The 26513-nt window shown below is 54.5% G+C and overlaps 2 annotated features.

Annotated features, from left to right (window-relative positions):
- Positions 1449 to 2137: an enhancer, noted in NCBI's record as "H3K4me1 hESC enhancer chr2:240427462-240428150 (GRCh37/hg19 assembly coordinates)". NCBI's record gives its function as "activates a minimal SCP1, AML or CMV promoter by ChIP-STARR-seq in naive H9 embryonic stem cells {active_cell/tissue: H9 hESC(naive)}" and the evidence as "EXISTENCE:reporter gene assay evidence [ECO:0000049][PMID:30033119]".
- Positions 15576 to 16247: an enhancer, noted in NCBI's record as "H3K4me1 hESC enhancer chr2:240441589-240442260 (GRCh37/hg19 assembly coordinates)". NCBI's record gives its function as "activates a minimal SCP1, AML or CMV promoter by ChIP-STARR-seq in naive H9 embryonic stem cells {active_cell/tissue: H9 hESC(naive)}" and the evidence as "EXISTENCE:reporter gene assay evidence [ECO:0000049][PMID:30033119]".

A 26513-nucleotide genomic window follows, 5' to 3' on the forward strand; every position in this document is an offset into this window, starting at 1 on the left:
ACAGATGATGCCGGCTCATTCTCAGGGGGTGTCTAAGTTCTGCTTTAAATATTTACCCCCTAATTGTACAAACAATAGGGGCATGAGCCTGGTACTCGATAAATGGGGACTTCCTTAAAAGGACGCCTGCTATCTTTGACATTTTACAACAAAGCTTTTACTGTTGAAGAGCGATTGCATATAGAAAAGCCTCTTCCTGGCGGTCACAGCAAGGTGAACTTTTGGGACACAGCCACAGACAGGGAGAAGGCCTCTGAGAAATCCAGACAGCGGTCCCAGAACTCGAGCATTCGGCCAGAAAAACGGCCACTCAGGGCAGTGCTGACCTGTGCTGCAAGGAAAGGTAAATTTTCCGCCTTCACAGATCTGTTTTCCTGTCTGTTATTTCTCCCTGGGAACCGCCAATTCTGTTCTTGTTTCTCAAGACGGCCTTAGTGGAAGCAGCACGAGGTCATGGCCTCTGCATTAACAGAGGCCACCTGCACAGAAGACGCCACGGTGGCAGGACCTTGGTGTCCTTAGAGCCCTAGACACCAGGCCAGAGCCTTCCGGGGGCCCCAGGCCGGTGGGGTGCCACTGAGTGTTTAGCAACCAGCTCTCCAGAAGAAAAAGGGCCTGGTTTTTACCTTGTGCCAATTTCTGTAGTGTAAACACTCCCACCACGGCAGGTTTCAAGCCACCCACGTGAGCTCACTTGGCGTGGAGTTGGAAAGAGACACCCGTGATCCATTCCTGCAGGCGGTGGGAGCTGGCACCGGCATGCCACAGCAGGCTGTGGGTTTGGAAACTCGAGGACTGTGTGCTCCTTTTGAAAAGAAGTCCTTACTTCTCCCAGGTGAGGCCTGTCACCCCAGTTATCAGTGATCTGAGAGAACTCGAGAGCATGTGTGTGTGAGTGTGTGTGTGTGAGAGAGAGAGAGAGAGCGAGAGAAAGAGAGAGAGAAAGACAGAGAGCTAGAGTCTGACACTGAGGTGTGAGGTGGTGGGGGCCTGCAGTGCTGGGAGCTAAGGTGGAGAGCTCACCTGCTCTGTGGGGTGTCCTGTTCTCCGGGGCCCTGGGCAGGCCTGTTGGACGGGGCTTAGCAACCACATTTTGTCCGTCATTTCCTGTGGGGATACTGCCCTGACTTCAGAGCCCTGTGGTCGGGGTGGGAGGAGACACCCGAGCTCTGTTCGTCCATCCATGAGAAGGACCCTGACCTGTCCATCTCCCGCACCGCCCCTCTGCCCCTCCACCCCTCAGGTCTGCTGGCAGGCAGAGTTTCCAGTCCTGATGTTTTTAGAGTCAGGATTAGCTCACTCTGCCCTCCTGCCAGAGACCCTCTCAGCTTTTTGGAAATCACTTTGGGCCAGAGAGATGAGATCATGCTACGTGTCTTCAGTTGCAGGTGGATGGATGACAAGGGGCCCCACAGCAGGAGTCCCATCAGGGTCGCTGTGTCCTCCCCATGCCCAGGGTGACCATGGGTCACCCACCCCAGATCGGAGGCTGGCACTGGCTCCCACCCCAGATCCAAGGCTGGCACTGGCTTCCCGGCACTGGCAGGGGGTGTCACCTGCACTGCCGGGTGCTTGGTGGGTGACGGGTCTGCTTGAGAGTTCATTTCTCTTTTCCTTTCCTCTCTCATTTCTCCAGAAAGGGGGTGTGTGTTTGGGGGTGCTTAGGACTTGATCTGGGCAGTGGACTCCATCCCTCGGTCCAGTAGGCAGTGGGGGGCGGGGGGCATCACGGCGGGGCTGCTGCCATCTGGCCAGGAGAAGCGGGGATCTGGGGACACACAGCTCCTCTCCTGCTCATAAAGGTTGTTGGGTTTGTTCCCTGAGCCACCAAGCAGAGGAGGAGAAAGACGCAAGGAAGACAGACATTGGCTCAATATGGCTCATGGAGAGCCCTTGATTGCAAAGGGGCCGTGGGAGAAGGTCTCGAGTTTCTGCCATTGAGGGGTGAGCAGAAGAGAGGCGGAGCTTGCAGGGCCCATGACTGTGGAGGGAAGGGCAGTCAGGTAAGGCGGTTCCTAACTCACCGCAGGGCAGATGCTGTGAGGACCCAGCTCGGGATGTTCCACAGCCATAGCCGTCCCCTGGTTTCTGGGGTCCCCGCCTCGTGGCCCCCCACAGTCCCAGACCTAGAGTGGCCCGCGCCTAGTTTTCCCCGGGATCTGGCTTAGTGTTCTGTCCTGCAACCCAAGTGTGCTGCAGCACGTCTTGAAAATCTTGAAAGGAAAGGTTTGAAAATCTTACAGGAAACGTCACGTGGACGAGGTGGACACAGCGCTCGTTCGCCCTCCTGCACGTCCGCTGAGCCGCAGGGACAGGCAACACGCTGTGGCGAGTCCTCAGACAGGCCCCGCCTCAGGCTCTGCCTTCATGATTTCCACTTGCCAGAGTGACATAATGACACTGGGGAATCCGGTCATTTTCTCCAAACTTCAAGTGAGGCGTCTTTATTAGCAGGTGCTAAACTGCCTCTCCAGATGCTGAATAGTAACAATGAGCTCCATTACCATCGCAACAGCTGTCATTTTTGAGGAAATGAAAAACATTAATAACTACTACCAAAAGCTAAAAAACAAAGCCAAACAGAAAACACAGCAGCCCCCAAAGGCTTGAAATTACCAATATGGGAGAAGAGCCTGCTAGGCCCAGACAGCCCAGGGGCCTCCTCCTGGAGGGCAGCACCTCCTCCCTGGGGAGAGCCACGGTCAGAGCGGCCTCCTCCCAGGACGAAGTGTTGGGCTTTGGGGCTCAGTGAGAGGGATGTGCCCAAGGGAGGGAACCGGATAGGGTGCCAGGAAACCCTTCAGAGCGCATGTCCTTATGAGCTGGAGACGAAGCTGAGCAAAGTGTCCACACACACGTGCACCCTCGCACACGCATACACATATGGGCAGCCCCACGCGGCGGCTACCCCCACGGTGCACGCTCACACTCTGTGTGTGAAGGCGCACCTGGGGTCTAGGCCACAGAGGCCGGCCGGGTGCCTGCAGACAAAAGGTGGCCGTGTTTGGCTGTGCAGGACATCGGCTGCTGACTTGGATGGAAACGTTTCAGGGAGCTGAGAGGATTTGGTGGCCCAAGTGCTTAGGTAAAAAAACAGATATATTAACCGGGCCAACCTCCCTCTCAGAGACCATGAGTGGAAGTGATTCTTGCCAAACAAAATGTCATTTCCAAGTAGTGATTTAATTTTCAAAAATTTAAATTAAAGTCAGCTTTACTAAAGTAATTTTGATTTAAAATGTCAACATTTATTATAGGTTGTATTTTGCCACAAATTTTAATAAATCATTAAAATTTTTAGAATAAAAAGTTTGAAAAATAAAAGTATATATGGTTTGGTTTTTATGTACTTGATTAAAATATTTCACTGAAAACACATGCAGGTGTGCACCTGTTCGCATGTATATGTGAGCACGTGCACACAGGTGAAGCAGTGACCACACAAACACGTGCACACACACATGCACCCACCGACTTGCACCCACCCATGGGGACACATGGGCCACGTGTGCACATACCAGCCTTCGGGCTGGAGGACGGCAGGATCAGGAGTGGGAGAGAGTGAGGAATCGGAGAGGCTGGGAGGAGGGGAGGTGTCGGAAGGCCAGGGCCTGTGCCGGCCTGTGCAGGGCTTCTGCTCCAGAGCCGGGGTCAGGGCTGGAGCAGGGAGGGCTTGGGTTGTGCAGCTCCAGGCAGCTGTAGGGTGCAGGATGGTGGGGAAGCGGCTGGGGAGTGAGCACGCCCCTCTTGCTGAGTCCCTTCAGAGGAGACGTGTGGGTAGGGGAAGGTCCCCCCTTTCTGCTTCCTCTTCTGCCCCTCCTTTGGCTGCTGCAGCGCCCTGTGGCGGTGGTGCCCTGGGACCCAGCCTCCCTTCTCTCTGCGAGTCTCCATGGCTGGTCACCTGCCCCTCGTGTGGAGCCAGGGCCCACTGGGTCATCTTTATTCCCTTGAACTCATTCTGGACGTGGCTCTGGGTGCAGGGTTTATGCAGTGAACCGACTTCATTGCGGTGGCCTTCCTTGCATCCTTTCTTTGGGAGAGGCAGACATCCTCCAGAAATAAAGCTCACACCCCAGCTTCATGCGGAATCTCCCCGAGAGCATGCTATTCAGAATAGCAGTATCAAGTTGGGGCTAAATGAGTCCAGCACTTCCAAATTAGCATTTTTTAGGAAAAAATGTGCCTCATGCCAGCTTGCAGATTCCATAAGTTTCCGTTTAATCTTAAACTAAATTTAAAGAGGATTTAATTAGCAATTCATTTCTTTCTCTTTATTTTTGTGTTTCTCTTGAAATGAGATTTGAAATGGAATCTTTTTTCTGTCCCAGGGCACAGTGTTAAGTCTGATTTCCAGCGGTGATAACAGAGGAAGCCTCCCTGGTGCACCTCTCTGTATGGACGTGTGTGTGGGTAAAACTGCGGCTTTCTTTCCTTAATGAACCAGCAGAGCCTCCTCCACTCCCTACCTTGGCCAACGCCCTGCACCCTCCTCACGCTCCAGCCTGGGGCAGCCGGTCCCTGCCCATCTTCCCACTCAGGGTGTTTCCTGATTCGCCGAGGGAAAGGGGTGCCTGTTGCCAGCTTGCTCTGTGGTCATCCCGACCCTCCCTGGCCTCTCCTGGGCTGAGGTGGGCAGGGGCCTTTCTCTGGTGTCCTCGGCCTCTCCCGGCTGCACCACGGGCAGGTGCCCTAACCCAGTCTGTGTTGATTTGGCCAACTAAAGCCACCCTTGATTTCGTCTCATGCTCAGGCTGTGTGAGCTCACCAGCTGCGGGGGTGGAGTCTTCACTTCGAGGATTCCCTGCAGGTTCAGTGTGACCCTTAACACAGGTGGGTCTCCGGAAGCAGCCACCCAGGAGCAGTCTCCCAATCTGACCTGAGGGTCTTCCACACTCCATGCAGGGGTGTATGTGTGCATGAGTGTGTGCACACGTGAGTGTGTGCACACGTCAGTGCGTAGGTGCCCACGTCAGCGCGTGGGTGCCCTCATGTATTAGTCCACTGTCACACCGCTATAAAGAACTACCTGAGACTGGGTAATTTATGAAGAAAAGAGGTTAAATTAACTCACAGTTTTGCAGGCTTAACAGGAAGCATGGCTAGAAGGCCTCAGGAAACTTACGACCATGGCGGAAGGCAATTGAAAGCAGGCATTTCTTACAGGGTGGAGCAGGAGACAGAAAGAGAGAAAGAGCAAAGGGGGAAGCCCCACACATGTTCACACAATCGGATCCGTGGAGAACTCACTCATCAGCACGAGAACAGCAAGGGAACTCCGCCCCCATGATCCAATCACCTCCCACCAGGCCCCTTTCCCGACACGTGGGGATTACAATTTGAGATGAGATTTGGCTGGGGACACAGAGACAAACCATATCACCTCGAGTATGCGTGCTCTGCGTGCATGTGTGAGGTGATATGGTGTGGCTCTGTGTACTTGTGCATATGAGTGTGTGCATGTGATGTGTGCATATGTATGTGCATGTGATGTGTGCATATGTATATGTGCGTGCACATGAGTGCATATGTAAATGCACTTGTATGTGTGCATGCATGATGTGCACATATGTGTGTGGGTGTGTGCACATGTATACATGTATGCTTACACATGCGTGCATATAAGAGTGCGTGCATGTGATGTATGCATATGTATGTGTGCATGCACATAAGTACATATGTAAATGCACGTGTACGTGTGCATGCATAATGTACACATATGTGTGTGGGTGTGTGCAAACGTGTACGTGTGTGTTCACACATGTGTGCATATATATGGGTGTGTGTGCGTGTGTGCAGTGGGACTCCAGTTCTGAGGGCAGCTGGTGGCGAGGCAGGCCTACAGCAGCAGCTCGGGCAAGACCTACACTGAGGTCTCCAAACAGAGCTTTCCCCGTCTTCACATGGCCCCTGGCTGTGCCCACCTTCTGCTCCAGGCAGGTGCCGGGGTGGCTGGTGCAGAGGGGTGGAGCTTTGTCTGCAGCTCACTGACGTTCTGTGATTTTCCACTAGTTTTTCCCCCTGTGTTTCACTGGTGCAAGTTCCCATTGCTCTGTTTTCAGTTCGCCCGTCTTTCCCTTTGAGTCTCATCTGCTGCTAATCCCTCCAGGGTGGTTTTCATGTCAGAGTTAGGGTTGACATCATTGTTGTTTCCTCTAGAAGTTTCCTGGTTGTTTATTTACTTTTTTTGGTATCTTCCATGGCTTAACATGATCAGTCTTTCCTCTAGCTTCTTGAACAAACAGATATAGTAATTCTTTTATTATCTCTATCTAATTATGTGTTATTTCTGAATTGATTTCAAATGGTTTCTCTCCTCACTGTGGGTCATATTTTCCTGCTTCTTTGTATGCTTGGTAATTTTTCACAGGATGCCAGACGTTGTAAATTTTGCCTTGTTGGGTGCTGGATATTTCTGTAGTCCTGTGAGTATTCTTGGGTTTTGTTCCAGGAGACAGTGAAATTATTGGAAATGGCTTAACCCTTTTAGATGTTGCTTTGTTAGGTGAGACCAGGGAAGCATTTACTCTAGGGTGAATTTTGCCCCACTCCTGAGGCAAAACCCTCTGTGTTTTCAACCCAATGGCCTACGAATGACAAAGTCTTCCACCCTGGCCACCCCTGACTCTGCGTGAGTTTCAGGCATGCTTCCCTCTACTCCTTTCGAGTGGCTCTTTCCCCAGGGTTGGGCAGTTTCCTCACATACATTTATGGGAATGAGGCGGAGGCCTGGGGGGCCTTCTGCAGCTCTCTGGAGTTCTGTCTTTGCAGCTCCTCCTCTCCAGGACTCTGGCATGAGAACACCAGCCTTCTCTGTCTGTTTGAACATCAGCCTCCACCCCCCGCCGCTTAGAGGGGGTCTTCAGGCTCTGCTTGAGCCCCCTCCCTGTCCTGCAGCCTAGAGGTAACCATGGGCCTCTCTTCTTTTGATTCTTATCTCAAGGACTGCTGTCCTCTGTTGCCTGATGTCCAATGTCTTAAAAACTACTGTTTCTTTGCCGGGCGCAGTGGCTCACGCCTGTAATCCCAGCACTTTGGGAGACCGAGGCGGGCGGATCACGAGGTCAGGAGATCGAGACCATCCTGGCTAACACGGTGAAACCTCGTCTCTACTAATAATACAAAAAAATTGGCTGGCGTGGTGGCGGTTGCCTGTGGTCCCAGCTACTTGGGATGCTGAGGCAGGAGAATGGCATGAACCTGGGAGGTGGAGCTTGCAGTGAGCTGAGATCGCGCCACTGCACTCCAGCCTGGGCGACAGAGCAAGACTCTGTCTCAAAACAAAACAAAAAAAACTATTGTTTCTTTAGTTTTTTAGTTTTTTTTTTTTTTTTTTTTTTTGGTTTTTAGTTGCTTAAGGCAGGAAGGTAAACCTGCTGCTGCCCCTCATGAAATCTTGGCCAGAAGCAGAATCCTATCTACAAGTTTAGGCAGTTGAGATTTATCCTGAAGGTCATGGAAACACTGAAGCAAGCATCTCAGTCCCTCAGCTCAAGGCTGTGTGGCTGGGTCCTAATAGAACAATTCTTTCTCCCTAGTGCACACCTGTGGTTTACTGGACATTCCACCCATGCGGGCAACTGCACAACTAGGATTCTAAGGGCAAACTTTTGCTTGTAGCTTGCAGAAGTGGCCATTCGACCATAGACCATGCAATGGAGAGACTGATTAGGGATAACACAAGGCTGTGTGAAAGACTGAACGTTTGTGGCCCCCTGAAATTCATACATTAAAACCTAATCGCCAGTGTGATAGTATTTGGAGGTGGGACCTTTGGGCAATGATCAGGTCATGAGGAATCTGCTCTCACGAATGGGACTCGTGTTTTTATCAAATAGGCCCCAGAGAGCTCCTTTGCCCCTTCCACCACGTGGGGCCGCAGTGAGAAGGCGCTGTCCATGAACCAGGAAGTGGGTTCGCAGACAGGAACTGCTGGTGCCTTGATTTGGACTTCTCAGCCCCCAGAACTGTGAGCAATATCTGTCTGTTGTTTCTAAGCCACGCAGTCTATAGCATTTTGTCCTAGGAGCCTGAATGGAGTGACACAACTGGTGGTAGAGGCTTCTGGCTGTCCTTGAATTTATGAAAAGGAATAGATAACAACATGAGCTTTAAGACCCCTGCAAAAACCGAAGTATAATCCTCCCCTAAAAGTTGGGGGCCTCTGCCTCCCCCAGCCTGAGGTGACCTTGACAGGCAGTTGTCCCACAGTCTCATTATTGTTCGGGAATGGCTACAGATGATAGAATTCTTTCCTTTCTTTCTTTCTTTCTTTCTGTTTTTTTTTTTTTTTTTGATGGAGTTTTGCTCTTGTCACCCAGGCTGGAGTGCAGTGGTGTGATCTCGGCTCATTGCAACCTCTGCCTCCCAGGTTCAAGTGATTCTCCTGGCTCAGCCTACCAAATAGCGGGGATTACAAGTGCGCACCACCATGCCCGGCTAATTTTTGTATTTTTTAGTAGAGATGGGGTTTTGTCATGTTGGCCAGGCTGGTCACGAACTCCTGACCTCAAGTGATCCACCCGACTTGGCCTTCCAAAGTGCTGGGATTATAGGCATGAACCTCCACGCCCAGCCCAGATAATATATTTCAAAACTAGAGTGATGGACTTCTCTTCCTCAGAGGTGGACGTGACTGTCCTGACACAGCCACATTGCACTTAGAGTTCTAGGAGGTAACTCGTATTTTCTTGATTATTTGCTTGTTAGAATGTAAACCTGACACATAGTAGTTGTTCAAGAATATTTGTTGAATGAATTAGTGTTGCTCAAAGCTAGGTTTTTAATGAACCGGTATGGTTTGGCTCTGTGTCCCCACCCAAATCTCATGTAGAATTGTAATTCCCAGTGCTGGAGGTGTGGCCTGGTGAGAGGTGATTGGGTCACAGGGGCGGTTTCTCATGAATTAGCACCATCTCCTTGGTGCTGTTCTCGTGAAGCAGAGTGAGTTCTCATGAGACTGGCTGTTTCAAAGCGTGTGGCACCTTCTCCTCTCTCTCTCTATCTCTCTCATTGCTGTGGCCACATGATTGCCTGCCTGCTCCCCCTTCGCCTGCCTGCTCCCCCTTCGCCTTTCCCCACGAGTGTCAGTTTCCTGAGGCCTCCCTTGCTATGCTTTCTGTACAGCCTGCAGAGCTGTGAGCCCATTAAACCTCTTTTCCTGATAAATCACCTGGTCTCAAGTATTTCTTTACAGCAATATGAGAACAGACGAATATATGATTGGTTTACGAATATTTGGTTTTGATGGAGGTGGGCATTAGTGACACTTGCATTTATTGCCATTTGCATTTTCATTTCTGTGATTTCTGGGGGGACTTGCTGTTCTGCTGGTGCACCTGCTAAGAAGTACACAGTTACTCTGCTTGGACACTGAGGTGCACTGATGGTTCTTTGCCCTGAAAGATATTTAAACCAAGCGATCAACAGTGAGCTGATGGGCATGAGATCTCTTGGTTTCGTGCTTATGAAGGGCCAAGGCTCTTTGTGATTTTTCTACCCAGCTGCTTCCAGATCACACCCATGCTTCGTCAGCTATGCCCATGCTGGCTGCAGGGAGATGTGGCTGAGAACCCTGGCTGTTCTCTCCTGTTTCAGACTTGCCATTCCTTGTACCTTGGCACTGGGAGTGGGGGTGGGGGGACTCACATATGCATCAGGCTCCTCCTGACAGAAGATGGTCTCCATCAGACAGTCCCGCAGCCCCTACAGGGCGACCTCCGGTGCTGGGCCCGAGACCTTTCAGAAAACATGACCCATTCCTTCATGCATCCAACAATTGAGATCCCGCGTGTCAGGCACAGTTCTTGTGCCGAGGGCCATCCCCCAACACAGGACCTGGAGGCAGAATGGGCTCTTCTTCCAGGCTACAGGGAGGGCTCTGTCCAGGCCCTTGCCTTCCCCGCAGCCCTCCTCAGGCATGGGGGCTCTGGCCCTCAGCCATCTTTGGATTGAACAGAACCCATTTCCTCCTATCCTGCCTGGTAGATGAAATTTCACGCTCTTGAGATTTCAATTTCGGGGTCCCGGGGTGGGGGTGGTGTTTAAGAACGACATTCGCATGTCACAGTGTACAAAGCATTTTACCCCCATGATCTCATTTAATCTTCATAGCAGCTGGTGGAGGAAGCACCTCCTCTCCTTTCACAGGGTGGCAGATGGAAGGCCAGAGACCTTGCTCTTTGCTCACCGTCTCCTGGCCAGGAAGTCTTAGAGTTGGGCCTTAACCCCTTTTCTTGGACTCCAAGACCCAGGTTCTTACTGTGGCATGACAGCTGCCAGGATCTGACGTCCTTCCGGGATGGCTTGCCCTACAAGTTGCTGGAGAGCTCTTTGCATCTGCCGAGTTTCTGAAGGGTAGACCCTTCTGTATCCTGCTGTGAAGGTCTCTGGATCTCAGCGTTCTTGTGGGAATTGATTCACTTCTTTCAGAGCATGAGGGCCACACCTGTGTTTGGAGCACACCCCTGAAAACAAAGAGTAGCTTCTCCTTCCGAGGGCACGGAGCCCAGGGTGCCGCAGGCATCATTCAAGGTCAAGGAAGATAGAGCAGTGTGCTTCATCCCAGTGACCTGCTCTTGAAGGGAAAAGGGGCACTGCCAGGTGGGGTGTGACGTCACCAACCTTTTTATCGCCCCCCTCCCCCGCCCCGTGGCCACCCGCCGCTGCCCCCGTGTGACAGGTATGGCAGACACCGTTCCCATCTTACCAGTGAGAGGAGGCTCAGGCTCACTGACTCCTGAAAGTTAAGTCACCCGGGATCTAAGCCCAGGTCCTCCAACCCCAACTCCAGCAAGCTGCCTCCCTCCGGTTATTCAGGGGGCTCTGGGCGGACGGGAGGGACTTTCTTGTCAGGGGTCCTTCATTTCTCTCTCCTGCTGCACGGCCCTTCTGCAGGACGGCTCCTCCCTCGGGCCTCTCCTCCTCTTTCCTTCCCTCCCATGCATCTCCATGGCAGGTGGATTTCCATGGGGCAGTCCTGAGTGTTGCTGAGCTGCGGGGCCCAGAGCATGTGGACATTGTGGGGCCACGGTTGGGGTTGCTCCCTGCCCTCCTGCCAAGGTCCCACCCACCCAGCCAGCCCCATCCAGAGGGTGTGGCTCCTATGAGAGCTGGGGCCTCCGGCCACAGCCACTGCCCACGCTCCTACCTGAGGAAGGGACGTGCACTGTCTTCCCTGCTCCCCCAGCCCGGATTCAGACCCAAAGTACCAGATGCGGGGCTGAACACATGGACACAAGTGTGTTTTCATGACTGGATAAGCTGCTGACCTGGTTCTCCCCACTGACAGTAGCCCAGACCTGTCTGGAGCCCGGGAGGCCCCTCAGGGCCACAGTTTCCAACCCCTGCCCTTCTCCCTGCTCATTCTGCACACCCACTTGTGCCCCTACCTCTTCCAAGACGCCCAGGAAGTGCACCTGCCTCCTCCCTGTGCCTTGCGGAGCCCCCTCCTGGAGATTCTCCCCACCCTGGTGCCGTGATTCCCTCTTTGTGCCACTCTGACCAGATACTGCATGTTCGCTGGGTTCTCGTCTGCCCTCCACCCTAGAATAAGCTCTAGGGGGTTGGGGCTCTGTCTGCAGGAGATGGAATTTTGCCCTGCATGTGGCAGGCGCTTATGAGCATTTGTCGAGTGAATGAAAGAATGAAAGGGGGCACTGGGCTGGGGCTTGGGATGCCTTGGTTCTGGGTCCAGCAGGCATGGACAGGCCTGCGGCCGGTGGGTGCCCTTGTTCCGCCCCCTGTCATAACAGCATTTGCAGCCATGATCAGGGCGTGCTTTCTGAGAGATGGCACACTAGCTCAGCTCAGTGGATTCTTCCAGAAACATCATGGTACGGCACTACTGTCCCCATTTTTCTAGGAGGGGAGGGTGGGGCTGGGCTGGGGGGTAGTGAGTGGTAGGGACAGTCTTACCTGTGCACCCAGGGAACCAGAAGCCTGCACTGATGTATGGATGGGGCTGCCAAGGTGAAAAGGATTCTGAGCCATGGGATCTTCGTGGCAAGATGCCCTCTGGCCCTGGTGATGGAGGCAGGTGGGAAGGTGGCCATGGGATTGTGGGGTGGGTGGGTGGCATTTTTTCCCTAGAAAAGCCTGGAGTCTCTGGTGCAGACACTGGGGAGCCCCAGCCATCTTCGTGGTGCTCATGAGGCCGAGCTGAGGCTGGTCCGGGAACCCGACTCTGGCAGGGAGTGTGGCGTGCAGGCTGTGAACTGAGGAGTGCAACCCCATGGATAGGGAAGGAAGCTGGGCCCAGCAGAGGCAGAAATTCAGCCGTAGGAGGCCCCACACCAGCCTTGGCCTCACGGGAGCTGGGGCTAGAGTGACCCCCCAGGGCTGGGCTGAGTTGGGCTGAGGTGCCTGGGCCTTTACACCCCTCATTGGCCAGGCGTTGGATTTGGGGGGCCCAGGAGGATGTGCCCTTGGGTGAGGCCACTCTCTGCAGCGGAGACCACCCCTGCAGCACCAGTGATGCCACATGCAGTCCCAGAAGGGTGTCTGGTCAGCCCATCCCAGTGCTCACCATCACAGCTGGCAGACAGCCAAGGTCACACAGAGGTGGGTGACACCACGGGTGGGCGGTGTGAACTTCTGATTTGGAACAAGACACCCTCTCCCCACCCTGATAGGAACGTTCCCCAAAAATCCCCACAAGGAGGGGAGGCTCCGCACTGTCCTGAGGCCTCCAGAGGGGCTGCCCGCCGACCCTGCCCCACTTTGCTTTCATTTCCCCTCCTACTCTGGGGGCTATGGAGACCCAGGCCCATTGGGGAATGATGGGAGCACTCCGAGACTTGCAAACCCAGCATCTGCATGGCTGTTCCTCCAGATTCAAGTCCTCATCCCAGGGCCCTACGTTCAGGGCTGTGTCCATCGGCGTGCCCCAGGGGAACAGGACAGAAACAGAACCGTGAATGGTGGGGCTGGTGAGTGTGAACTCCGTCGAGCGGGTTGGCAGCCTGGAAACTCAGATAAGGGTGGATTCAGCTTTGAGGCAGAGTTGCTTCTTCTCTGGGAAGCCTGTCTTTCTGCCCAAGGGCTTCTGCTGATGGGACGAGGCCCACACACGTCATGGGGGAGCTTCTGCTTTACATAAAATCAGCGGTCTGTAAGTGTCAATCGTATCTAAAAATTACCTTCACAGCAGCATCTGGTGTTGGTGGGCAACCAACAACTGGGCACCACAGCCTGGCCAAGTTGGCATACAAAACTAGCCATCATGGGCCTAACGGAGTTTAGACAATGACCCTGCCAGTTAACAGAGCAGATTTTCCCCAGGAGGCTGGGGGAGAGAGAGAGAGACAGAGAGAGAGAGAGAGAGTTGAGTGACATGCAAGGAGAGGGTGTCCCATCCAAGGAGACGGTTGTGCTTTGGTGTCTTTGGCCCCAAGGGAAGCGTCAGCCCGACCCCTGTCCCATAGCTGCGCTTATCTGTGCAGTGGGGCAAACCTCCTGCTTCACAGCTGTCCCAGGCCCGGGTCTCATTCCCTATACCCCAGGGCACCAGGCCCCAGCTCTACGGTCAGGATGGTGAGGGCCATGACCCAGGCACTTGGGGCAATCACTGCTGATTCCAGCAAACACCAGAGTCTTCTTTGTGGCCTGGTGCCTCGGGAGCACACCCCCGCAGTCCCACCATCCTGCAGGACGCTGCGGGACGCTGCGGGACCAGCATGCTAGCTCGGAGGACTAAGGACGCGCAGGACTCCTGTCTCACATTTGGGGCAGCGGGTGGGTGCCTCGAAACTTGAGAAACTGTTACTGCAGCTCTGAAAATGGTTGTGGCTTCATGTAAATTCCCCATCATGCCTCTACCTTCACGACAAAGTGCTTTGGGCTGGACTGGTGAGCCCCAGCTTCCAGGCGATTGGACAGTTCTGGGTGAAGTCTCCCGGGGGTCACGCTGGGGAGGCAACTGGGCCCAGCAGTCACTGTCACACCGTCAGCTAGGAGGTGGCCAGTGGAGACAGCTATTCACCTCAGCTCTTACCACTGGAACTGGGTCCTTCTCTGTGCGTTTTGGGAATGGAAAGCTATCTGCCATGTGCAGGAAGGATGTGGAGTGAAAATCTGGGTGAACGTCAAAAGCCATCCGTGCACAGAACTCGGGGCCCTGCAGCGGGCCTGGGGCCTGGGGCCGGGGCATGAGGCCTCCTTGCTGGGTAGACCCTTGTCTAACTCACGCAGAGCTTCTTTCGTTTTTCACTCATGGTGAGCGAGTCTCCTGCTGTCGGTGTGGTCCCCAGGAAGGCGACACCCACTGCTCCATGCTGACCCCTGAGCTCCTGCCATGGGGCACTTTCCAGAAGTTTGATGAAGGACTTCAAATGAGGGGTGGGCAGCTCCTCCAGGTGGGGCCTGGACAGCCTGGACCTCACTTGCCAGTGGGCAGCTTCTCTTCCCGGCAAGAGAGGCAGAAACAGAAGGAGACACCTCTCTGAGCTTGGGGCCAGAGCCTACCAAAAAGGGGTCAGGGGATGTCCCCCTACCTCCACAAAGCTGAGGGGCTGATCCATTTTAGTAACTGTTCCTGAGCGACTACTGGGAGAGTCAGTGCAGGCACCCCCAGCAGGCGCCCTGAGCTGGAAGGGTGGGGTGCCCAGAGTGCTGAGCTGTGTCACCCTGGGCCACAGACACACCCAGCGCATGTGCCCTAGGACCCCGCTTCGAAGGCCTGTTGCTGTGTGCGTTTGCGTGTGCTCAGGGGATCCCATAGACTCTCAATTCCTTCTCAGTTCTACCTTTTGCTGAAGTCTAGACTTCAGCCATGTCCTGTGCTTCCCCAGCCCCGGACAAGGGCAGGCAGGTTCTGGGAAGCAGTGCAGGCAGCTGGCAGCTAGACCTAACGTGCACCGGCTGAGCCAGAATGCTCCCCTCTCCTGGGGTGGCTGTCGGGCTCAAGCACAGAAGGCGAAAGCCACACAGGCTGGCCCGCCGCCAGCTCTGGTGTTCTTTCCATGAGGTGCTTCTGAAGCCCTGATCACTATGGCTCTGTTTGTTTTTTCCTGCCTTCCATTTGCAGCAATCTTGAAAAAGCATCTCAAGACAGTGTCAGGAGTTTATGTCTTGTTGTTCAGCATCTGACATCTTTTAAGGGAATAATCAGGACCCATCTACGTGGGAGGAGGGATCGATCCCGCTCTGGCCCATGCTGCCTGTCTTGCTGTCAGGAGGAAAGATGTATGATGGTTTTATTTAAGATGCTGCTTCCTCAAGGGCCCCCGGAGATAGGCATCTCGTCTGTGTTATGCTAAATCTTTAAGAGCTTCTGACTGTAATCTATGCTGTGAGGATTCTCATCAGCTGGGCTCAGGCACTTCATCCCCTTTTAGAAGGGAAGGCCAGAGGCGGCTGGCGGCTCCTTGAACGGTGCTGCTTGCATTTACCATGTTGGTCTTGGGGGTGGCACAGATGGAAAGGAGGACCACAGTGAAAACACACCTGGGCTGGGGGAGGGGCCGCTCCTTCATTACAGAGGCTCCTGACCTCTCTGGCAGCGCCCGGTGGCCTCGGGTGCTTGGACATGAACCAAGGTCCGGGCTCTGTACCCCAGGCCCATTGCGGTGAGGAGGACCAGCCGTCACCTGGAAGGGCCCATGAAGGTGCTGGGGCTGCAGGGAGGTTCTGGGCCCATCTGAGATGATCCGGAAAGAACCAGGGCCTCCTCCGAATGTTCGAGGGGTTAAGGAAAGAGTCCGGGGCACGTGTCTGGGGTGCTGGACATCATATCTGTGCAAGTGCACCTCCTCCCAGCTCCTGATTGTGCCTCGATCCCCAGCAGTTTCTGAAAATGGTGGTGGGCAGGCGGGAGAGCCAGCCTGGGGCAGCCGTGGAGGCATTTACATCCGCTGGGCGGGCCCTCCTGCTTCAAGGCTCGAAGCTTTGGTCACCTGGTCCCATACTTTGGACTTCTGGAAAGAGAACGGAGGCATGGAGGGGCCAGAAGACCACAGACTCCACCTGGGCTGCTGGAGGGAACTGCCCCTGGCCCCACCTGACATGCTCAGAAGCCCCAACTGTGCTGGAACCCCTGCTCACTGCACTTCCGGGTCCCTGCTCCCCAGGCCCCACCTGGGCCTCTGCCTGTCCTTGTTTCCTGGAGTCTCCCTCACCTTCCATCTGATGCGCGTCTGCACCCCGAGGGCACCATCTAGCCATGCTCTTGCAGGCTGCTCCCACAGCAGCCACGCCTCCTTCCCCTTCCTGCAGATTTGATGGATGTTTTAATCCCAATCTTGAAGCTACTTCAAATAATTTTGGGAATAAAGCAGTCAAATTGGCCTCCATTCCAGGGATAGCACGACTTTGCATTCATTAAACACACTTCACCCCTCACTGGATGGGAGGGATTGGTTTGCTGAGTTGGGTGTGAGGCTCTGTGCCTGATCTCCTCTGGCTGGGCAGCTGGGAAGGGGTGGCCTAGAGCTGCTCTCTCCTCCTGCTGCAGCCACTGGGGACCAGCTGTTCGCATCTCTCTCTGCTCAAGGCACCTTTACGGGCCATGGGGTTGCCACTGAGGAGCGGAGACACAGTTCCTCGTGAGCTGTGGACCATGAAGTGTGGGACGACCAGCCCAGCGCTCTCCTGACAGTGAAAAGGGCACACGGACAGAGTTGTCCCAGGAGAACCAGCAGCAAGACCAGCCTGTGGGGCCCCGCGGACAGCCCATGGGTCCAGGCCTGGGGACGCGTCTTCGGAGGGTGGGGTAGCCCTGAGAAGTACACATGTTTGCTTCAAAGGGCCAACGTGGCTGCCCACCCGCTTGCCCGCCCGCCTGCCCTCTTTTCTTTTCTCAGAGCGTGGAGATTTAACGTTGAGTCCTTTCTTCCCCACCCAGCCCTCAGCAGGGATGTCTGTCCACAGGGACCCTGGAGGGTGTGTTGCGTTGTCCTGGGAGCCAAGGACCAGGTGCCGCGCTGTGGCTTGCCTGCGGGGAGGGAACAGTTGCCTGTCCGGTGCAGAGCTGGTGCGAGGCGTGCAGGGCTTGCTGTGTTTGGGCGGCAGCAGTTACTGAATCAGGCTGGGCCCAGTGTACTCAGGGCTGGCGCCCAGGACATGGCTGTCCCTGCATCTTGGGACCCATTCCCTCTCTTCCTGCGACAGGCCCCTGTGATTCTGGAATCCACCACCTCCCTGCAGCATTTCCCCTCCCCACCTGTCTCTTGGCTCCTGGCCCCTCCCGCCTCCAGCCCCGTGAAGTTGCCGCATGTCACGAGTTCCCAAGATCAGGTTGATGTTGCCCTCCTTCCTAAGTCAGAGGCAAATCCCGTGCCTGGCATGTGGGGCAGATGTGGGCCAAGAAGGTCTGGGTCTGAGAGGTGCAGGTGCATGCCTGCCGCATGGATGAGCAGTAAGGAGTGACTCCCATGCCCTCTCGCTCAGGGTCTCCAGTGATTAGAAGACTTGGGGGCAAGAATGGGTGACCCAGAACATTTCTGAGTTGACCAAAGCATGCTGTCTTGGGGGTTCTCCCGTAATATTTTTCTGCCCACTGAACTTTTCAGAGGGAAACGCTGGCTCACGCTCCTGCTTAGGGAGTTGAGATTCTAGTCTGCCCATGAGAGCTGCCTCAAAGTAAAGCCAGTGGGTTGATTGCTCTCAAAAGTCACAACTGGGCTGTGTAGGAATAAGTACTGGGCCCCTGCACCGCCTCAAACCAGGATACACCCTGGTTGGATAACCTTGCCCCTTTCTGTGGCTGTGTAGAGAGTACATGTCCCTGGCTAGCTGAGGGACGGGGCTGGGGCCAGCGACAGCTCCTAGGAGCATGTGATCATGGGAGGGGCAGTTCACAAAGGGCGGTGTGTGATTTCCCCACAGCAGGACTTATCAGTACCTCTGAGAGGCTAACATACACGGCCGCCCTTGCAGGAGAGGTGGAGCTTGCAGATTTCATGCAGCAGTTTTGCTGTGAAAACATTTGTCAAGAGGCAATTTGTGGACTAGTGCTCCATGGAACCCAGTTTGGCAAAGGCTGCTCCACAGCCCAGTCAGCACACAGCTGCTGCAGAGAAAGCTGAAACCCAACTAGGACAAAGGGCGTGATAAGGAGCATGGCATCCAGCTGCCTTGGGCTGTGACACCAAACCTTGCTTGTCTCGGGGGCCTGTGAGGTCTACCCCTTCCCCAGCCTGCACCCCACTTGTTGCAGCGGCCTCACTGGCTGGTCTTCCAGCTCCTTGAGGTCCCTCCCAGCCATGAGCCACTGTACAGCATCTTCCTGCCTTCCCCGTCTGAGCCCGGTCACCCTAATGTCCTCCATTACGTCTCCTTCCATGATGCATGCTCGTGGAGACCAGGCCCCCAGTGCAGCCCCCATCAAGGTCCACACGAGCTCACTGATGGCTGTGTGATGCACTGTCTGCTCCATGTCTGTCTGCCGCATATACCTGTCAGCTCCTGGAGGCAGGAACCGCATCCCTTGACTCCCTGGCACTGCCTGGGATCTGGGAGAAACCCACAAACATTTGTAAGACACGTGAATGAGTGCCACTGCCTTTGGATGGTGATGTGTGACACATGACACGTCACCACTGGTCACGTGTCAGCATGGGGGCCCACGAGGAGGTGCATCGCATGGCCCACAGCATTGCTGACCACTGACCCAGCCAGTTGGAGTGACCGTGAGTCTAACTGGGCAGGCAACAGAAATGCATCGAGGGTCCCTGTGCCGGGCCTGGGAGCTCCAGCCACTGGCACCTTCGGGGATGCGGCAGACCAGCAGGGCTGGGGGCCACCTTCTCGAATTTGTCTGCTTCTGTGGGCAATTGATTTCAGTGGATCGCTATGGAATGACCCAGACAGCACATAATTCTGTTGTGATGATTTAAACTGTGCAGGGGCAGGAATGGAAAACCCAGGTGTGTTGGGGTCAGCTGATAGGGGCTCTTGAGGCTGACCCAGACCACCCAGGGTGGAACCCGCCAGGGCCACGAGGGTGCAGTGGGGAGGGGTAGGACCTTCCCAAGCTTGCCCTGGTGTGGCTATGAGAGGCATTCGAGATGCATTGAGTGATGATTTGCCCAGCAGCCGCACCCTGAGGTTCTTCATCCCTCATGCCCTAATGGGCCAGGAGAGAAGCCACTTTGCTGTGAGCTGCCATGGTGATAGGGCTTGCTGTAGCCCTGGTCCACCCAAGGCTGGCCATCAAGATGGCCCCCTGTGTTGACACCCTACCAAACTGGCCTTGGGACCGTGGGCATGAGGGATGCCACGTGCTAAGCCCCATGCCCAGCCCTCTGGGGTCTGGAGCAGGAGCCCTGAGCTGACGCCTGGCCCTGCAGCAGGACCCCAGGCCCCCTCCTTCCCCCTCTGAACGGGGAAGATGTTCCTAGAGAGGTCAGGACTGGGGGATCAGTCCTGAAGACAATGCCCAGATGTTTCCTTGGCTTCTGGTTAGAAGGAAGCTGCGGCGCGGAGGAGTAATTTCCACACTGGGTGCTGTGCGGCCAGCTCCTGTGCCCTCCTCCTCACTACCACCCCAGGTGGTGGGTGCAGACGCTGAGTCCTGGGGTGTAGGGATCAAAGGAGCTGCCCAAGGTCGCAGAGCGGGCAGTAGGGGTGCCATGGACATGGTGGTGGTGGGGGAGGGTGTTTCAGCCCTGTCTACCTGATCCCAAACCATTCTTTTCCTTTTCCAGAAGCAGAATGAGGTTGGACCTGTGTTAGGGGCATGGAGGCCAGCCTGGGAAAAGGCTGCGCTGCAGATAACCCCCTGCCCACCCCCAGCCCTGATTGCATCACGCCTCTGACTCAGCCCAGGGTTTATGGCCCAGAAAAAATTAGCTGGTTTCTCCTCCAGCCACATGCAATTAATTTATGCTTAAATTAGCAAGGCTGTTTACTGAGACCTGCAGAATGTCCAAAAACCTTTTTATAGCTGAGAAGGTTTAATATTTTGTAAAATCATGTGATCACAGGGTTTCAAAGTTATTTCATGAAAAGTGTGAGTCAGAAACTCCAAACTTGTTAAACTGGTGAATTCTAAACCTGGTAAGACACTTTCTGTATCTTTTAAGTGTGAGAAACCGGCAACCTACCCCACCCCCTAATTACTTGGTTGCATTGAAACTGAAGTGGTTCAAATGGAAATTCAGCCATTCAAATTCTGCCCAGATCTAGGTATAATTTTTCTTTTTTTTTTTTTTTAGAAAATTTATTTATTTTTGAGACAGGATCTCACTCTGTTGCCCAGGCTAGAGTGCAGCGGCATGAACATGGCTCACTGTAGCCTCAACCTCCTGGGCTCAAGCGATCCTCCTACCTCAGCCTCCCACGTAGCTGGGACCACAGGTGCATGCCACCACACTTGGCTAATTTTTTAATTTTGTGGAGACAGGGTCTTGCCATGTTGCCCGGGCTGGTCTCGAAATCCCGGGATCAAGCAATCCTCCTGTCTCAGCTTCCCAAAGTCTGGAGTTACAGGCATGAGCCACAACGCCCGGCGCTATTTTTTAGTGATATGTAACATATGTAGAGTGACATGCACAAATATAAAAGGTGTGGCTTGATGAAATTTTACAAAGGTTATCACCTTTTCTAAAAACTACAAGTACCACTGAGATCAACATACAGAACATTTCCCACGTCACGTGAGATTTCTTGTGTCCCTTCCAAGACAATATCTCTCCTGTCAACCTTCACTCATAGTGTATGAGCTTTGCTTATTCTGGGACTTCATATAAATGGAATCATATGCTATGCAGTCTTTTAGGTCTGGCTTTTTTTTTTCTTTTTTTTTTTTGACAGTCTCGCTCTCTCACCCAGGCTGGAGTGCGGTGGTGTGATCTCGGCTCACTGCAACCTCTGCCTCCCGGGTTCAACCGATTCTCCTGCTTCAGTCTCCTGAGTAGCTGGGATTATAGGTGCCCGCCACCAAGCCTGGCTAATTTTTGTATTTTTAGTACAGACGGGGTTTCACCATATTGACCAGGATGGTCTCAAACTCCTGACCTCAGGTGCTCCACCTGCCTCGGCCTCCCAAAGTGCTGGGATTCCAGGCACGAGCCACCACGCCCAGTCGGTCTGGCATCTTTTATTAGACTTTGTGTCTATGGGATTCATCCCTGTTGTTGCCTGTAGCAGTGTTTTTTTTTCTCTTTCATATTTATGCCTGACACTATATAAAGATATTACAGTTATTTTATACATTTTCTTGTCGATGGCCATCTGAATTGTTCCTGATTTGGGGCTGTGCTGAATAACTCTGCTATGGACGTGCTGGTCCATGTCGTGGGTACACTCTGTTTACCCATGTTTATTACACAAAGTCTTCCAAAGCGATCTTACCCATTGCTGTTCCCACCAGTAATGCACAAATGCTGCCATTCCTGCCTGTCCTCCCCAATACTGTGCATTCAGTGATTTTAAAACTTTAGCCAGATTGACGGATGTGTGAGGAGGAGGTGGCAATTTGAAATTACCTGTAAGTAATGATGCAGATCATCTTTTCGTGTGCTTTTTTTCACTTTAATTTTAGGTTTGGGAGTACATGTGAAGGTTTGCTGAATAGGTAAACTCATGTCATGGGGGTTTAATTGTGAAGATTATTTCATCAGCCAGTGTTCATTCTAGTGCCCAATAGTTCTATTTCCTGCTCCTCTCCCTCCTCTCAGGTGTAACTTTTCTATCCTGGTGGGGATGAGAAGGGTAGCTCAAACACTGTTGATTACCAGAAATGCCGGAGCAAGAAAGAAGGAGAAAAACCTGTCCTCTTGGACAATGGGGGCAAATACAGAGGGGGCCCTTCAAACTCTGCCCTTGACCGGTAGGAAGAGCCCTGGACTAGGGGTCAGAAGGCTCCAGCAGCCCCGGGAGCCCCGCAACTTTCTGAGCTGTAGTTTCTTCCTGGATAGGAGGAGAAGGGGCGTGTCCACCTGCTGGAGAGCTGCTGAGATCCAGGTGCACGTGGACCTTCCCTGGAAGGATGGTTCTGGATGACGATAGCTGTCGGTGCCCCCACTCATGAGCTGAGGGACACTGGGCACTCTGATCAGCCTCAGTCTCAGCCTGCTCATCTGTCAGATGGGATAAGATGACCCATTTCAGGGTGCCTAGAAGATTAATTGACATAACCCCCCAGAAGTGGTCAGAGGAGAGAGGGGTCAGGCGCTTGCACAGGGGCGTCGTGTCTGCACTGTGCGGCTGTAAGCACTTCTCCGCACACTGCATCTTTCTCCTGCATGTGGATGTGCATGTGAATTTGTGAGAGTCCCAGTCTGAGTGTGAGAGGCCGGGGATGAGATCAGGTGGTGCAAGGGGCTTGTCCTTGAGGCAGGAAGAGAAGCAGCTCGGGCTTAGTCAAAGCATCGGTGCCAGAAAGGGCTCCAGGTGTGACCATTCACCCTCAGCCCCTCCAGGACAGGGTCTGTGGGAGGATTGCACAGGGAGATGGGCCGTGTTTGTAACACCCACCATGAGGCACTCAGCCTCCTGGAATCGGGGGGCCAGAGACACAAAAAGCAGCAGCATTTGGGTCGGCACCTGCTCCCCACTCCCTGGTACCCAAGGGCACTGTCCAAAAAACAAGCCTGCCGTGGAGCGTGGGGTCTGGCGTCCACCCGTCCCTCCGCCCGAAGTTCTGCCTCTTCGGGTTCAAGCCAGAGGCACAGGCTGGTGCCCACAGGACTGGGTCAGGATTGGGCAGGGACCAGCTCTGGCAGCCCTGCCTCAGTGGCCACCAGCCAAGGTGGTCTCTCTCCTTCCTTGTGGTGACCCTATCCATCCCAGGGACCTCGTTGTCCCTCCCTGATACCAGCCTGGACCAGGGCCCCCGAGCTCCTCGGGGTTCATCCCCCAACTCCAAAGTTCGGAAGGCAAACTGTGTCACTGTTTCCCATCCCTGCCCCTCCCTGTACTCACATCCTGTGCTGCGTGGGCCACTCAGGGACCCCGGGAGGCAGACGCCAAGACAGGGTTCGACAGCAGGAGGATATGGGGTGGGGCCATGAAGGTGCCATGTGTCCTGGGGCTGCCGGAAGGAACCCACACACTGGGCAGCTTCAGGTCACTGAGCTTCGCTGTCTTCCAGGCTGGAGGCCCTGGTCCCCTGGTGCACCATCACGAAGGCGTGCCATCACGAGGGTGCACCGTCACGAGAGTGCACTGTCACGAGGGTGCACCATCACGAAGGCGTGCCATCACGAGGGTGCACCGTCACGAGAGTGCACTGTCACGAGGGTGCACCATCACGAAGGCGTGCCATCACGAGGGTGCACCGTCACGAGAGTGCACTGTCACGAGGGTGCACCATCACGAAGGCGTGCCATCACGAGGGTGCACCGTCACGAGAGTGCACTGTCACGAGGGTGCACCATCACGAAGGCGTGCCATCACGAGGGTGCACCGTCACGAGAGTGCACTGTCACGAGGGTGCACCATCACGAAGGCGTGCCATCACGAGGGTGCACCGTCACGAGAGTGCACTGTCACGAGGGTGCACCATCACGAAGGCGTGCCATCACGAGGGTGCACCGTCACGAGAGTGCACTGTCACGAGGGTGCACCATCACGAAGGCGTGCCATCACGAGGGTGCACCGTCACGAGAGTGCACTGTCACGAGGGTGCACCATCACGAAGGCGTGCCATCACGAGGGTGCACCGTCACGAGAGTGCACTGTCACGAGGGTGCACCATCACGAAGGCGTGCCATCACGAGGGTGCACCGTCACGAGGTTGCACTATCACGAGGGTGCACCATCACGAGGGTGTGTCTTCACGAGGGTGCACTGTCACGAGGGTGCACTGTCACGAGGGTGCACTATCATGAGGGTGTGCCATCCCTGTTCTCCCCATCCTGCCCAGCTTGTGGAGATGCTCAGGTGTGGTCACGTGCCCTATGGGACTCAGACTGCCCAAATCAGGTCAGGCTCTGTAGGAGCTCAGTCGGTTTCCCTGCTGGTGAAGGCAATATGGGAAGAGACACTTTCCTCCCAGGGGTCCTGGCCCCTGCTTCCAGCCCCTTGAGGGGCAACGCTGGGTAGTGCCATAGACGTGGCCTCACTTAGCGGGGTACACCGCATCTGGTAACTGCCGCCATCATGCACAGGGCTTGTGACTGCTGGGCCTTGGATGCATCACCCCATGAAGGGCTGAGCTCATGGGATGCTTGCTCCAGGAACCCCCCAGAGACGTCCGAGGAATGGAATGTGGGTCTGAGGGGGCCAGCCTGGATGCGGCTGCTCAGGCAGGACCAGCAGACTTCACATCCAGCGTGAACACTTTGGGGTGTGCAGGCAGTTAAGAGCCTTCCTGAAGCTCCTGGGGGGTAAAGAGAGATTGCTGTGGGAACTGGGGCCCTTGGCCCAGTTGTCTCCCTTTAGCTGGAAAACAGCATGGTCCCCATTAAAATGGAGATGGTGCATTTCACAGCCAGGGCCTTTGGGAGGCCACAGCCATAGAAAGTAGGCCTGTGGGGCTCATTCCAAATCCTTTCTTGTGGCATCTTTCCACTGAAGTAAAAAGAAGCCACCGGGGAGTGTTTTCCCTCCTTCTCACCATTTTCAATTCAGAGACTTGATTCTAAGGGACACAGATGGGTGGGCTAGGAGAGCCAGGCAGCTTCCTGGTGGCCCAGCCAGGTCAGTGCTACCTGCCTCTCCTGCCTTCTTATGGAGGTCATTGTACTCCTGAGGAGGGAGGTGGCATGGCCCTGCTGGCTGGAGGCAGGGAGAGGACCCCAGGCCATGTGAGTGCAGGTGCCTCTCCCCCAAGGGCCTGGATGGGGTCACCAGGTTCCATGTAGATGTGTAGCTGGAGGCCAAGTGTGCAGGCTGCAGGGCTGTGCCCATGGGCAGGGGAGGCTCAGGGCACCAGGAAGGTGTGCATGACCTCCCCTTGGGGTCTGCTCCTGAGCATGGCCGAGCCTCCCCAAAAGGCCTTTGGGTGTGCAGCCTGTGGCAGCCTGCTGGGGCCCTGTGTGTGCCAGGAGCAAGGGTTTGAGTTTCAGCTCACCATTGCTGCTAGTGGGGCCTCAGGGAAGTGGCTTTAATATTGTTAGGTCTGTCTCCTCATCTATAAACTGGGGATGACATTTTCGGGGTGCTTTGAACAAAGTAGCTGTGCAAATCTCATAGGCAGTAGGTGCTCAATGCTCCCTTCCTTTCCTTTCCACAAAAGCAGGTTACTAAGACCCAGTAAACCCTCCGGCCGGCGGCCGACAGCTGCTTTTGAGCCCTTGCTTCTTTTTCCCCTGTACAATTTGAATGTTCTGTGCACTGAAGGGGGACTCAGGGACCCGGCCAGTCAGCCTAATGCTGGGGCACAAGTGATGATTAGAATGCTATGATCCCCTGTCTTGTTTTGCAGACACCAGATTGGAGCCTTCATTGTGGCCTCCTCCAAATCCCCACGGGCACCTGGGAGGAGGGAAGAGGCACAGATTCACCCTGCAGAGAACCAAGAGAGCTGGGAGGCAGAGATGCCAGCATGGGAAACCCACCCAGGCAGGACCTCATGAAGCAGAGGACAGCATGCAGGTAGCGCTGGCCTGGCCGGGCCCTCAGGAAGCGACCTGGCTCTCCTAGCCCCACCGGTCTGTGTCCCTTGGAAATCAAGTCTCTGAATTGAAAATGTTGAGAAGGAATGAAAAACACTCCCGAGTGACTTCTTTTTTCTTCAATGGAAAGACCCTGCACAGGGACCCGGCTCTGAGCTGGTGACAGGACAGCCCACCCACCTGTCACCTGCAGAGATGCCCCCCTCCTCCCTCCTACACCCTCACTTCCTCCCATCTTCCCTAATCCAGCCCGAGCCGGCATCTCCCAGAAACTGCTCAGAAGAACTAGAGAGGGGTGCTGTTGGGAATTAGATAGTGACCGCAAAGTATATCTTCATCCAGAACCTCATAATGACCTTAGACCCCAAGGTCTTTCTTGGAAATCGGTTCTTTACAGATATAATTAGTTAAGGATCTTGAGATGAGATCATCTTCGGGCAGGTGGGCCCTAAATTCAATGCCTACTACCCTCATAAGAAGAGGAGAGCACACAGAGACACACAGGAAGAGCGCCCTGTGAAGAGGGAGGCGGAGATGGACGTGATGCAGCCACAAGCCAAGGAATGACTGGAGCCGCCAGAAGCTGGAAGAGGCAGAAGAACCCTCCGCAGAGCCTCAGGAGGGAGCATGAATTTCGCATGTCACCTTCAGAACTGTGAGAGAAGAAACGTCTGTGTTTTAAGCCCCCATCCTCTGTTTGTGATCATTGTTATGGCAGCCAGGACCCTTATGCAATTGGGGTCCAGGAGTGAGGCGGCCGGGCATTGCTGCTTAAATGTGGGTGCACCCAGCAGAGTGCTCACAGCTGTGGGGTGAAGAGGCTGGCATTGCAGAGCAGAAAGGCTCACAGGGGGGCTCTGATGGGGACACAAACTGGACTTGGAAATAAACGCACAAGAGAGGAGTGAAAGACAACATTGAGGCTAAAAAGGAGGATCAAGGATGTGGAAAATCCACGGTGGAGGTACTCCAAAAGCGTAATCCAAGGTGAAAGTGGAGGAGGAGGTGTCGGCTGGG

Source organism: Homo sapiens, chromosome 2 (genome assembly GCF_000001405.40).
Source record: "Homo sapiens chromosome 2, GRCh38.p14 Primary Assembly".
NCBI classification, from domain to species: domain Eukaryota; kingdom Metazoa; phylum Chordata; class Mammalia; order Primates; family Hominidae; genus Homo; species Homo sapiens.